Genomic DNA, 14,974 nt, shown 5'->3' with positions numbered 1-14,974 from the left:
TCCTTTCCTCTTCTCTTGTAGGAAGCAGTGAAATGTAGTGGAAAGATCTAGGACTTCAAAGTCCAATCTTCCTTGAATCCTGCCTTAACCACTTACTAGTTATGTGACCATGGTATTTACCTCTCTGGTCTTTCGTCCGCTTCTCTGTAAAATAGTAATAATACTTCGTGGCCTAGCCAGAAGAATTAAATGGGATAACATATCAATAACCTTTGTATTGGAACCTAGCAGATACTTAATAAATGGCAGTTACTACTATTGCATGGACTGTTAACAGTCCATAAAGAAAACACCCAGACTTTGTATTCAAATGACCTAACATAGGATTACGTTTTCTAATATTCTTCACCATTGACAGTCTGTAAAAGAAGGTACTGTCTTTTTCTTGTGCATTTTTTTTTCTTTTACCTGTCACTGATTTTTCCACATGGAAGACCTAAACAGATTTCATTTGAAGATAACCATTTGCCAAATGAAATTGGTGGGGGAATTTTTCTTCCTTTAAGACCTCCTCCCACAGCAGGCGTCTGGATAACAAGTAAAATGATAAATAATGTAAGACAACCCCCCAAGACACATTTTTCTTGCATCTTTCAATATAGAAAAAGTTTATATATATCCATTCCAAATCCTAAGATCTAAATGTGGCTTCAGTTTGAGACGCTAAGGGACCACATTAACTCAAGAAAAATCCTCCTCTTTCCTGAGCTGTTGGTAAATGCTCATAAATCTCTTAGTTGAGGTTCTCCAGAAATATGTTTTATTAATGTGCTGCCTAATTAGTGAGCAGCCAGATGACTAATTTATGTGGGGTCCTCTCCTAAGTGTAAGAATGTCATTTTGGGGATGTTTCCTTTTTGGGCTGGTGGATGATTCTTCCTTAGTGACTCTCTTATGTGTAGTGTTTTTATTTTTTTCAGGGACAATGGTGACAGATCCAGGCACCGAGCTCCACGCAATGCCCGGATGTCTGCACCTTCGCTTGGACGCTTTGTCCCAAGGTAAGAACCGAGTTGCTAGCAACAGAGGGAGCCTTCGTTAGAGCCTAGGATTTAGTTTTAAACCTACTTTCTGGTCTTTGAATTGTCCACATCTGGCATTGTTTCCTAGTGGGCCCATAGCCCAGCCCTGCTGTCTAAACTCTTGACGGATGATGGTTAGCCACATTCAAAAGAGATGAAAAAGTGGTGCTGGGAGAATCCTGTTTAAGAACAGAAGTGTTGGGGGAACTTTAGAAGGAAGGGCAGAAAAAGATAGATACAAATCTGCGGAAGGACCAATCTTGGGAGATTTTATTTCTTTCTGGGCATCTGTGGATTCAGTGGGTCCCTTAGCCCAGATTTTTCAGTGTAGGTAGTTAGTATCTGTTTCGTGGTAGTCTTTAGTCAGCTTTTCACATGTGATTCCTTCTTGTAGGCGTTTCTTGCTGCCTGAGTACTTGCCTTATGCTGGGATTTTTCATGAACGTGGACAGCCTGGCTTGGCTACTCACTCTTCTGTTAACAGGGTCCTGGCAGGTAAGGAAATGTTTCTTTGGCTTTTGAAAATGTGAAGGGCCAAGGAGCCAGATAAAGCTTCTCCCTCCTTTACCTATGTTGATGTGATGGTGTCTTGGCATCTGTCTGAAAATTCTATTTTGGGGTCCTGGTTTGATATTCAGTTCCTTACTTGAAGGCAGGAAATGGCAGGGTTGAAGAAAAATGTTTCTCTTACCCTATTCCCACTTTCCCTAGACCTTTTTTTTTCTTTTAAATTATTTGTTTAAACCATTTGTTTCTTAATCCAGCAATTAAATTCTAGCTATGCTTTTAATTGAATGATAAAGGTGCCGTGTTTATGTTTTGGTTGGTGAGATACTCATGAGCCAGATCCTGTGATTTAATTAGGAGCTTAGTGCACACCTCTCCACTCCTTTGGTACTGCCAGCATGTGGAATTTCCAGGCAGTGTGGAATCTTCTGAGGAAGGAAAAGAGGGAGACGCCCTTGGAGCTGGCTCAGAAATCTCCACAGAACAGAAAATGGGCTAGGCAAGCCCCACTGAAGCAGTTTTATTGTTTATTTACTTATTTATTTTTGAGACAGAGTCTCGCCCTGTCACCCAGGCTGGAGTGCAGTGGCACGATCTTGGCTCACTGCAATCTCCACCTCCCGGGTTCAAGCAATTCTCCTGCCTCAGCCTCCCGAGTAGCTAGGACTACAGGTGCCCGCCACCACGCCCAGCTAATTTTTTGTATTTTTAGTAGAGAGGGGGTTTCAACGTGTTAGCCAGGATGATCTCAATCTCCTCACTTCGTGATCTGCCTGCCTCAGCCTCCCGAAGTGCCGGGATTACAGGCGTGAGCCACTGTGCCTGGCCAGCAGTTTTATGATGGTTGAATAGCTTAGTGACAGATGTTTTTCGGCTGTGAGGCATGACGTGACTGTGTTCTGAGACGTTGTGTGTGCTATTGCTTCTGGTCAGTCTCTAGAGAAGGAAGTAAAGCAGAATTCCATTTTTATATGTGGCAAAGGTTGTTTCCCTGTCACAGTCTTTCCCTACCTCCCTCCCACCTCCACTGCCGACTTATAAATTTATGAATGCAAATGCATAAAAGGTATAAAAATCAAGCCACATTTAGAGGTATCTTTAATAAGCATCTTTATTAAAAGTTTTAAAATGACATTCTGTTTTGGAGAATCTGGGCCATGTGATGGTTAAAGGTGGGGAGGGATCTACTGAGGCAGTGGCACTGTCTGACTGTGAGAATGTTACAAGCTTTATCTTATGATTTCTAACCAAGCTGCTGTGACAGCATCAAGGCCATGGGATCTGGCCTTTCCTAAATAGTATGTTTGATCCAACATCAATGCTTAGAAATTCCAGAAACCTCAGTGGTTTCTCTGTCAGACACCAGGACTTCATAGGCTCTGGCCTGGCAGGAGAGCAGACTATACCACAATCTCCTGACAGCCTCATCTGAGGAGGCTCTGGCCCTAGTTGTAAAACAGATGCTGTGGTCCGTGCCTCTCCTTGCCTGGCACTTCTGTGTGGCTTAACCGAAGGCACGTTAAAGCTTTTTTCACTGGCAGATAATAACTTGCTGCCAGACAATACTCTAGAGCTCTTCTCCACCCTTCTTTGTTCCAGACATCTGCCTCCACCACCCCATACAGCACCTCCTGCTTCTCTACTGCCGGCAGATCTCTGTTTCCTTGGCATTTAGCTTTGGGGGAACAGCTGTATGTTGTTTTTTTCTGCCTTGCCTCCAAGACCTCCTTACTTCAATTTCCTGTTTCCTACTTTATGCCTTGTGGTCTGACCCCAAATGGCCTAATTACACTTATGGATGCCTTTGAATATAGGGGCTGTGTTGCAGTGGGCAGCTGTTTACAGATGTGAAATCTGAGAAAATCTATCAAAGGATGCAGAATGCCATTAGGAGAAGGAACTCTAGACTCCCTAGAACCTCACTCTTGAGTTAGATTAGCAGATGGTTTTCATTCACCATTAAACTAGTTTCTACCAATTTTTCAAAATACATATTACAGAGTATTTATTTATCATTCGTTGATATTTTGATGTCCCTCCAGATTCTATTGGCAGTTGTATCATTTGTTTTCTTCTCTTGAGAAAATTCCAATAATAATAATATAGCAACAAAAGCCTAACATTTATTGAGCACTTGCTATATACTAGGGAGTGTTTTACGTGCTTTACACATATTTCGTTTCTGTCTTGCAGTAATCATATGAGATAGGTGCGATTACCTAATTAACAGTGGAGGAAACTGAATCCCAGAGGGCTAACTTGCCCAGAGTAATGCAGCTAAGAAGTAGAAGAATGGAGCCAGTAGTCTCTAAACCACCTTCCCGATCCGCCTCCTCGTAGTTGTTTTAAAGGACAAAACATTAAAATGTCATTCTTTTTCTTAGGACTTTATAAGAGGGAGAGAGCTCCCAGGGAACTTCAGTGTTTTTCTTGTTTGTTTTAATTATTCTATTTAAATGGTTCCTAGACATAGGTTTTTATGATCCAGTGGTGCTTGCTGAGGAAAATCTTATTATGTAACCGCCCTTTTCCTGAGCCTTCTTGCCCTCCTGGATACAGATGTTTTGCTTTTTATTAAACTTACTTGTGATCATGTAATTGAGCTGCTATAATAATAGCTTTCAGAGTGAAAGAGCAATTGACCTTTTAGCAGTAAGCACTCCCAATTTTCCTGGAAAGGCACTTTGTCATGTATGATTGGAATGAGATTGTAATGGTCCCAGAACAATTACATTTAGCAGACATTTGTTCTACAGCTGTCATATGCCAGGCAGTGTTCTAGGTTACCAGAGTGAATAAGACAGACTATGATCCCTGCCTTCCTGTAGCTCCAAGTCTAGGTGGTTAGCCATGACTCAGTCTTACTCCAGACATAAGTGGAACTTTTGCATGGTGAATGGCTTTTTGCAGGGATGAAGCTTGGAAATTTGGCAGACCTGGAGGGACAAAGCAGACACACACCTGCAGTTTTAGGGGGTGTGACCAGTACTGTAGTGCCAAATGAGTCTTCAGTGGACCCTAAGCAAAGCCATTCAGAATCATCAACAAAAATGGGTTTGCGGAAAATCAAGATCCGTTCTACTTCCTCCCACAAGAGACTGAAAGCAATAATAGAAAACAGAAGCTACTATAGAAAAGTGTTATAAGGTGAAGAGTAAGTTATTGCAAAAAGAATTTTTAAAATATTAAAAAATAAAGAGAAAAGTGTTTTGATAGTCTATTATTCATCTCTTCTCCCTTATCTTGGTGCCTTCACCTGCAATTCTGTAGGTTTCTGGTAGCCTCCAATTGGTCATCAACCCAGGCCTTTCCCCATCATCATCAGCAACACAAATTCTAGACCCATACTTAAAGAGCTGTAAGTACATTTAAAGCTATTGCAGCTCTACCAGGTAAAATTGTGGGAGAACATACAAAAGTCTGAGGAGCTCCCCCTGCTGACATTGTAGCAGACCACTAGCTCTGTGTAGTCACAGCAACTGAAATGATGGAAATGAAGCTGAGTGCCTACCGTGGACCAGGTACTGTCTTTCCCACGTTATCTCTTTTCATCTTTGCAACAACCCTGTGAGGTAGGTGGTAGCATTTCCATTCTGTAGGGAAGAAAACTGAGGCTCAGAAAGTTATGTCACTTGCCCAATATCACTGTGAGAGGCTGACCTGGAATTTTAAACCGGGTCTTCCTGACTCTTAGAAGAGTTCTGTTCTGTCGTCTGTGCCATGTTTTGTTTGAGTTCAAGTAGGGAATATCTGCCAAAAGGTTCTTAAGCTTATAATATTTTTCTGCATGTTTGAGGCCTCATAAAAGTGAAATAAGAAGCTTGGCATTTGACAGCTTCCTGGTAATTACTGGAAGAACAAAAAACTTCTGAGGAATAGGGGCCTGGGTAATGTGGGGTATTAGCTGTCTGTCCTGCATAATCTTTTTGACTTTCATCCTAATGAGCATCTGCTCCTAGCAGATGTGGACCTGATATACTTAATTTACTGTTTTGATTAAAATCAATGGGAAGTGTCAGGGTTTTCTTGCTCCTAGCCACAGGTCATTACGGCCTGGTCCAGTGTCTTGAGCAAGAGATGGCTTTGTGCCCAGTTATCCTAATTTCTCTTATGACTCCTTCTTCTTCTTTTTAAATATAAAAAAGAAAAACTGGCCAGGTGCGGTGGCTCACGCCTGTAATCCCAGCACTTTGGGAGGCCGAGGCAGGTGGATCATGAGGTCAGGAGATTGAGACCATCCTGGCTAACGTGGTGAAACCTCATCTCTACTAAAAATACAAAAAATTAGCCAGGCATGTAGGTGAGAATTGAACAATGAGAACACGTGGACACAGGAAGGGGAACATCACACACCGGGGCCTGTTGTGGGGTGGGGAGAGCGGGGGAGGGATAGCATTAGGAGGTATACCTAATGTTAAATGATGAGTTAATGGGTGCAGCACACCAGCATGGCACATGTATACATATGTAACAAACCTGCACGTTGTGCACATGTACCCTAAAACTTAAAGTGTAATAAAAAAAAAAATTAACCGGGCGGTTGCGGGCGCCTGTAGTCCCAGCTACTCTGGAGGCTGAGGCAGGAGAATGGCGTTAACCTGGGAGGCGGAGCTTGCAGTGAGCCAAGATCTCGCCCCCGCACTTGGGCGACAGAGCAAGACTCCGTCTCAAAAAACACAAAAAAACAAAAAAACCTTTTTACTGAACGGTGTCACTTCTCAGTACGACTTCTTTGACCTATTACTTTTTTGGGAGTGTGTTGTTGAATTTTCCCATATTTTGAATTTCCCAAATTTCCTTCTGTTGTTCTCTTATTTAATTTGATCATGGTCTGAGAACATACTTTGTGTGATTTTATTCATTTTAATTTTATTGGAACTTGTTTTATGGCTTAGTATATAGGCTCTTCTAGAGAGTGTTACCCATGTGCTTGAGGAGAATGTGTATTCTGCAGTTATTTAGTGGAGTGTCCTGTAGATGTCGGTTAAATCTACTTGGTCAATATTATTGTTCCAGCTTTGTATATCCTTGCTGATTTTCTATCTAGTTTGTCAGTTATTGAGAGTGGGTATTGAAATCTCTATTATTATTGAATTGTGTATTTTTCCCTTCAATTTTGTCAGTTTTTTTTTTTGTTTTGTTTTGTTTTTTTGAGACAGAGCCTCGCTCTGTTGCCCAGTGATGCAATCTCAGCTCACTGCAACTTCCGCCTCTTGGGTTCAAGCGATTCTCCTGCCTCAGCCTCCTGAGTAGCTGAGATTACAGGCGTGTGCCCCCAGGCCTGGCTAATTTTTGTATTTTTAGTAGAGATGGGGTTTCACCATATTGGCCAGGCTGGTCTTAAGCTCCTGATGTCAAGGGATCTACCTGCCCCAGCTTCCCAAAGTGCTGGAGTTACAGGCGTGAGCCACTGCATCTGGCCCAATTTTGTCAATTTTTGATTAATGTATTTTGTGACTTTGTCATTAGGTGCACATATGTCTACGACTGATATGTGTTCCTGATGAATTAACTATTTTACCATTGTCCCTCTCTGTCTAGTAATATTTTTTGTCTTAAAGTCAATTTTTTCTTATATTAATATAGCTACTGCAGTTCTTTTATGGTTGTTGATTACATGAGATATCATTTTCCATCCTTTTACTTTCAGCCTGTTTAGCTCTTTGAATCTGAAATGTGTATCTGGTAGAAAGCATATGATTGGAGCTTGTTTTTTATCTAGTCTGACAATCTCTGCTTTTTGATTGTTTAGTCCATTCACATTTAATATTATCATTGATATAGTTGGGTTTTTGTCTGCCATTTTACTGTTTGTTTTTTGTATTTCTGATGTTTTTATTCCTCTGTTCCTTCTTTACTGACTTCATTTGTATTAAATGGGTATCATCTAATGTGTCTTTTAAATTCCTTTTTTGATTTTTGAATGTATTTTATCAGGATCAGTTTCCAATTTATTCAGACTTAATTCTGGTAAGATATAGAAACATTTTTCACTATCTGTTGTTCCCCTGTGGCTCCATTCCCTTCTACCTCTTTTGTGCTGTTATATATATATTAATATTACATCTATATGTATTACAAACCCAACAATGTGGTGTTAACTTATTGATTAATACAATCTTTTCTCAGGCATCCTTCTGTTTGTTGCCTGGTGTGGGAAAGACAGAGCTATACTTTTCATAAAATTTACTTTTATTTTCATCTAACTTTATTAACTTGTTAATAAAATTGTTATTAACTTTATTTTTGGTTAACAACAATTTACTTGTTATTATTGTTAACTTTATTTTTGGTTGTCCTCTGCCCCTCTCATCTCTTTTATTTTTATTTTATTTTTAGAGATGGGGTCTCGCTCTGTTGCCCAGGCTGGAGTGCAGTGACCCAGTCACGACTCACTGCACCCTCAACCTGCTGGTCTCAAGCTATTCTCCTACCTCAGCCTCCTGAGTAGCTGGAACTGTAGGCACACAACACCATGTCCATCTAATTTTTGTACTTTTCGTAGAGATGGGGTTTTGCCATGTTGCCCAGGCTAGTCTCTAACTCCTAGGCTCAAGTGATCTGCCCCACTCAGCCCCACAAAGTGCTGGGATTACAGGTGTTAGCCATGGTGCCTGGCCCCTCTCATCTCTTTTATTTGTATTTATTTATTTATTTATTTATTTATTTATTTATTTATTTATTTATGTTGAGATGGAGTCTTGTTCTGTCACCCAGGCTGGAGTGCAGTGGCACGATCTTGGCTCACTGTAACCTCCATCTCCTGGGTTCAAGCCATTCTCCTGCCTCAGCCTCCCAAGTGGCTGGGATTATAGGTGCCCACGACCATGCCCAGCTAATTTTTATATTTTTAGTAGAGACGGTGTTTCACTATGTTGGCCAGGCTGATCTCGAACTCCTGACCTCAGGTCATCCGCCCACCTTGGCCTCCCAAAGTGCTAGGATTACAGGTGTGAGCCACTGCACCTAGCCTCCTCTTGTCTCTTTTAAAAACACCAGTACTCTGGTCTTAGATGTTCCCCACTTCCCTGGTTCCTTAGGGAATTACTTTCAGGAGGACTTTTTAGTCTCACTTAGTCAACTGGGGTGGGCATCTAGAGCCTCAGGCTTGCTAACTTTTAGGAATTAGCCTTATTTCACCATCTGATAGCATAGCTGTCTAATACAACAAATTGCTTAATCACTATATAGCAGATCTTCACTTGAACTGGCAAATCTGGTATAGATTAATAATAGAGACTGCAGTTAAGGGCCATCGTGATATTACTTAGATGAAAGTGAACAGAAATGAATAATATTTCTGGTGTTGGGTCCTTTATCTCTTTGATCTCCCTTTATCTTTCTGCCGTGTACCCATCTGGTACCCAGTAGCCAGGCAGATAACATGAGTGGCACATTCCAACTCAACATCAATTAAGATGGCTGTTTATAAACCCCAGATAAATGGACAATTAGTGGTGGTGGTACTGGTAGTGCTGCTTTAATAATTAACCCAATTACATTTCATTCTGCTCCAGTGATGAAAGTGAAGGGAATAAGAGGCTGGCTTTGTTGCCTGGGAAACAGAGAAGTAAATGCAGTACTCCTCCCAGAGAACTCAGCCTTCCCAGTTGCCTTATAGCACCCGGGGCCTTTTACCTATTTGGTGTCCACCAGTCACTGGAGCATTCGAGTCCTTTCTACCCCAGCCCTTTACCTTATCTTATACCACTAGTGAGAAGTGTGCTTATTGAGAACATGGGGCCCAGTTTCTAAGCTGAATTGCCTGTGCTTCTTCAGGCTTTTCTAGGGAAAAATACTGGGCCTTGTCAATGAACTTTTCTGTTCCTTTTATATGTGTAAGTTTTTCTGTGCTTTTGTCTCTCTTTTCCCCAGGAAATTTCCTCTTGATCTTTCCCCACTTATGCTTTACCCGTGTGCCCTTTCTGTATTGTCACCTTAAAATGTACACAGCACTTTCTAAATGCTTAGTATTTTCCAGAACACTTTGGGTATTACAAAATAATTAAATGATTCTGCCCTCAGGGAGTTTACTGTCTAGCCAGGGAGTAGCCCAATATCTATGTTTTGTTTTAGCCCTGCCACTAAAAATTTACTAATTCCCCTGAGACTTTAACTACCAGTCTTGATAGATTAGCTAAGGGAGGTGGGGTGTAAGCCTGGGCTTGGATCAAGGACTTTCAGTCCAGTTTGTCTTTCGTACAGTTTGAAGAAGCTCTGCAAATGTGTCCCCGTTCATCTTTTGAGTGGGACTATAAGCGTGAGTAAGTGGGGCACTGGAAGGACAGCTGTCATTTATATGGTATACTCTGTCTGAGAGACAGTATAGTGAAATGTTTAAGAGTTTGGGCTTCTTGAGGCCGGGCATAGGGGCTCACGCCTGTAATCCCAGCATGTTGGGAGGCCAAGGCGGGCGGATCACCTGAGGTCAGGAGTTCGAGACCAGCCTGGCCAACATGGTGAAACCCTGTCTCTACTAAAAATACAAAAATTAGCCGGGCGTGGTGGCAGGTGCCTGTAATCCCAGCTATTCGGGAGGCCAAGGCAGGAGAATCGCTTGAACCCGGGAGGCAAAGGTTGCAGTGAGCTGAGATCGCGCCATTGCACTCCAGCCTGGGGGACAAGAGTGAGATTTTGTCTTAAAAAAAAAAGCCTGGGCACAGTGGCTCACACCTGTAATCCCAGCACTTTCAGAGGCCGAGGCAGGTGGATCATGAGGTCAGGAGATCGAGATCATCCTGGCTAACACGGTGAAACCCCATCTCTACTAAAAAATACAAAAAATTAGCCTGGTGTGGTGGCAGGTGCCTGTAGTCCCAGCTACTCGGGAGGCTGAGGGAGAATGATGTGAATCCGGGAGGCGGAGCTTGCAGTGAGCCAGAGATCGCACCACTGCACTCCAGCCTGGGCGACAGAGTGAGACTCCATCTCAGAAAAAAAAAAAGCCAAAGAAGTATAGGTGGTGGCAGGGATGCAGTGGAAAGGGAATGCGTATACACTGTCAGTGGGAATGTAAGTTAGTACAAAGTAGAAATCTTAATGTCCATATGTCTGGATTGAGGCGCCACTATTTATTTGTACTTTAAGTTCTCTGTACTCTGGGGCTTCCCTAGACCTAAAATGATCTCAAAGATTATTAAATCCCATGGTTGTGTGCTCCTTGGAATTACTGCTCATTTTGAAGGTGCCAGCTGAAGATTCTCTCTAATCTATAATGACTCAGTATAATGCCAGAATTCTTTTACTTCTCTCTTCTTAGGTTATGATTAGTATGTGCTTTGACATGTTTTGCAACCCCTCAGAACAAATGCAATGATCTAGAAATCTGCAGAGGACATGTGAGGAAAGAGAAGGCCAAATGTGAGGTCAAAACCCATATTTTCCAGTGGAAGCAGCAGCTTTCTTTGTTATATTTCTTTACATTTCAAACTTTCTTTAGGATTAGATATCCCCTACCTTGGGCCCCTTGTGCATGGCACAAAGCTGCAGTGAGCTGAGCCTATGATAAACCCAGGGACTCACCTCAATAGCCCTATAACATGAGAGACTGTCTTTACAGGGTGAGTAAAGAGACTTGGAACAATCCTCTTTACTGTCCCATCTACTTCAGTAGTTTTTACCAAAGTGAGCAGTATGAATGCTGGAAGTTAATAACCCATGCTAACTAACCCCCTACCTCCTTCTTTTTACCTTTTTTTTTCTTTTCGAGACAGAGTCTCACTTTGTTGCCCAGGCTGGAGTGCAGTGGCACACTCCTGCAACCTCCACCTCCCAGATTCAAGCAATTCTCCTGTCTCAGCCTCCCGAAGCTGGGACTATAGGCGTACACCACCACGCCCAGCTAATTTTTGTATTTGTAGTAGAGATGGGGTTTCACCATATTGGTCAGGCTGGTCTTCAACTCCTGACTTCAGGTGATCCACCCACCTTGGTCTCCCAAAGTGCTGCGATTACAGGCATGAGCCACCATGCCTGCCAGCCTCCTCCTTTTTAAAACCCTGGGCTCACATCAGCTTTTCTTTCTCGTTTCCTTTTCCTATCTCCAAGCAGCCTCGTTTATTCCAACCTGGCTGGAAATGCCATGGGAGCTGGCAGACATCACCTCTTACCTTTTCTACCAAAGTGGAGCCAACCTGTGGTTGTTAATTTCCTTTCTTTAAAACTTGCTGATCAACAAAGGCCAGCTCTTCCCCTGGGTCCTCATGCCACTCAGGTTGAAGAGCAAGCATGGATATCTTTGTATGAGCCATGATGGGGAAAGAAACTCCTGCAAATAGGTGACTGGGGCCCTTTGGGAGTGTTAAGACTCCCTTGGGTATTTCTTTTGGGTAGCTGTTGAGTGTCACCCCAGAGCCAGAGAGTCATCTTGTAACCACATACTCACCCTGTGAAGATAGTCTCTCATGTTATAGGGCTATTGAGGGGAGTCCCTGGGTTTATCATAGGCCCAGTTCACTGCAGCTTTGTGCCATGAAGAAGGAGCCCAGCATCACTTCTACTGTCTTGAGCTGTGGGGCTACATTCTTTAGGGATGCCTGGTAAGCAGATTCATGGTTTTTACTCTTTTTTTTTTTTCTTTTTTTTTTTGAGACAGAGTCTCACTCTTTCACCCAGGCTGGAGTGCAATGGCATGGTCTCGGCTCACTGCAACCTCCGCCTCCCAGGTTCAAATGATTCTCCTGCCTCAGCGTCCTGAGTAGCTGGAACTACAGGCGCATGCCACCACGCCTGGCTAATTTTTGTATTTTTAGTAGAGATGGGGTTTCACTGTGTTGGCCAGGCTGGTTTCAAACTCCTGACCTTATGATCTGCCTGCCTCGGCACCCCAAAGTGCTGGGATTACAGGCGTGAGCCACTACGCCTGGCTGGTTTTTACTCTTGTGGCTCATAGCTGGTAAAGTAGAAGCCAAAAAGATTCCTTCCTAATGCAGGGAAGTTAACTGGTCCAGGGTACAAAGGAACAAGGGAAAGCTAGACAGGAGGTAAAGGGTAGAAGTCCCCATTGGGAACAAGGGTTTCTCCTTGTTCCTGTGAAGTGGGGTGCACAGTAAACATGTGAGGGACATTTATTTTCACAAATGAAGCTGGCTAGAAAGGTGAGTTGTCTCCAGAATCTACCATATTGATATAGTTAGTGCCAGTGGCTGCTTTTTGTAATATTTGCTGACTCCCAACAGCAAGTGTTCACAACAGTCTTTTACGGTTTCCGTTGGACTGGTAACATAAAGGAATGACATGGAAATATCCGCAGTCACTCCTGCTCATTAGAGTGAAGTTTCACCCAGACAAATAGCTCTGAGATTGTGACAGTTCTATAACAGCATTTACAATTATCCAAAACATTGCCCATCATGCTGAACTGCAGAGGGGTAGTGAAAAGACAGAATTTAGTAACTCAAGCTTAGATTTGGCCATGAAGTAGTATTATAGAGAAAAACAATCCTAAAATTCATAGGGAGCCAGAAAAGAGCCTGAATAGCCAAAGCAATCCTAAGCAAAAACAACAACAACAAAACAAAACACAAAGCTGGAAACATCACATCACATTACCTGACTTCGAATTATACTACAAGGATGTAGTAACCAAAACTTGCAAAACGTGAGGACTTTGGAATATGATATTTCAAATTTGGTAAACAAAACCCCTAAGAACATTTGTTCTATACCAAGTACTGTTCCAAGCACTTCTCACATATTAATCACCAGCAGCATTGCTATGATACACTGTCATTTTTACAGATGAGGAAACTGAGGCTAAAAGAGATGAAGTATTTTACCCAAAACCACAGCTAGTACTTGACAGAGTGGGAGTTGGACCTCAGGCAGTCCTGCTCTTTTCCAACAGAACCACCATGGGGTGTGATCTGATTCTTTGTTGGTAGAAAAACAGGCTAAAATCTAATCTCAGGCTTTACCTTCAGAGAACAAAAATAGGCCGGGCGCGGTAGATCATGCCTGTAATCCCAGCACTTTGGGAGGCCGAGGCAGGCCGATCACCTGAAGTCGGGAGTTCGAGACCAGCCTGACCAACATGGAGAAACCCTATCTCTGCTAAAAATATAAAATTAGCCAGGCATGGTGACGCATGCCTGTAATCCCAGCTACTCAGGAGGCTGAGGCAGGAGAATCACTTGAACCCGGGAGGCAGAGTTTGCAGTGTGCTGAGCTCAACAAGAGCAAAACTCCATCACAAAAACAAAAACAAAAATAGTGTGTTCAGCTCAGAAGACTGCTACTGGGGAGGGGGCTACTATGCTCTTATATCCTTGTCGCAGATCCTTTCCCCTAGAAAGAGGGCCCTGTAGAAGAATTATATTCCCAAACAATGAATTGTGTAGTGGTAATTACACTGTTGCCATCCCTTTGGGAAGAAGGCTGGGGCGGTGATTACATTCCAAAACAGAGCTGTTTGGGTGTAATTGCACCGTGCTGCTCTTATCAGTCTGGGGACGGCAGGCCTCTGGTCTCCATCCTCATTTGTTTTTGAGATGGAATCTGAACAGCATTCAATTAATAGTCAAGACCCAGGCACAGGGAAGTCAGCCAAAAGAGCCAAGAGGACATTAAGTTGCTATTGGCATTTTCCTTCTACTGAAGTTTTCCAGACCTTTAAGTATCAGCAAATTTGAGGGGGAGCCTAGTTGAGAAAATTTATTTGGCTAGTGAAGGGTTAGAGATCCCTCTTTAAGAGGCTGTGCCCCAAACCCCTCATTGGTCTCTATACGTAAAGGAGAGATAGTTGGATGGCAGTGAAATTTTCCTCTTCTATCAGCAGCTTTAGCTCTGTCAAAAGGTAGTCCTTCCTTGAAATCATTCCCTGGGACTTGCAGTATGTATATATTTTTTTCATGTATGTAGCTTCCAAAGTTGTAGAGCAAAGAGCCTCTCTCTGGTTGTTTTGAGATAATAAGGCTGACTTTGGTTAAACTTCAGCAATAATCTCTAGATCTGGACTAGAAGAAAAAATAAAATGAATTATTTTGTTTTATGACTCAGAGAACAAAAAACTGCCAGTTGCTTTTAAGGTACACATGTTGATCTAGAGCAAAGAAGGAAAAGACGCATGTATTGGGATGAGGGTTGCACAACCCTGGGAAGTGGTATAGCTTTGGCCATTATGTCATTTAGCTTTTGCTGCTGAACAAACCACCCCCAAATTTAGTGGCATAAGACATTTCTTGTTTCTCACAATTCTGCGAGTCCAATTGCAGTTTGCCTGGTCTGCATCATTGGCTCTTCTCTGTGGTCAATTAATAGCTTGGCTGGATGTGGATGATCTTAGATGGTTTAGTAGGTAAAATAATGATCTGCCTAAGAGGTCCTTCCACATCTTAATCCCCAGAACCTGTGAATATGTTACTTTACATGGCAGAAAGGACTTTGCAGTTATGATTAAGATTATAGATCTTGAGGTGGGAAGATTATCCTGATTTATCTGGGTGGGC

At 42.5% G+C, this 14,974-nt stretch overlaps 1 protein-coding gene across 10 annotated transcripts in view; it reads left to right on the top strand.

Moving 5' to 3' along the window:
• The window catches only part of AMBRA1 (autophagy and beclin 1 regulator 1), a 197,612-nt gene that overhangs the window by 98,899 nt on the left and 83,739 nt on the right, over positions 1-14,974 (top strand). For all 10 annotated transcript variants that reach the window (NR_160027.1, NM_017749.3, NM_001367470.1 and 7 more), the window contains 2 exons: positions 921-1,001; positions 1,417-1,517. Coding sequence is in view for 9 of the 10 variants with exons in the window: in NM_017749.3 (NP_060219.2) it covers positions 921-1,001; positions 1,417-1,517 (182 nt within the window). In the remaining variant the exon portion in view is untranslated. The remainder of the gene's footprint in view (positions 1-920; positions 1,002-1,416; positions 1,518-14,974) is intronic.

The sequence above is a fragment of the Homo sapiens genome, chromosome 11 (assembly GCF_000001405.40).
Source record: "Homo sapiens chromosome 11, GRCh38.p14 Primary Assembly".
In the NCBI taxonomy this organism is placed as follows: domain Eukaryota; kingdom Metazoa; phylum Chordata; class Mammalia; order Primates; family Hominidae; genus Homo; species Homo sapiens.
The sequence above is the reverse complement of the archived record's forward strand: the minus strand, read 5'-3'. Positions and strand labels throughout refer to the sequence as shown.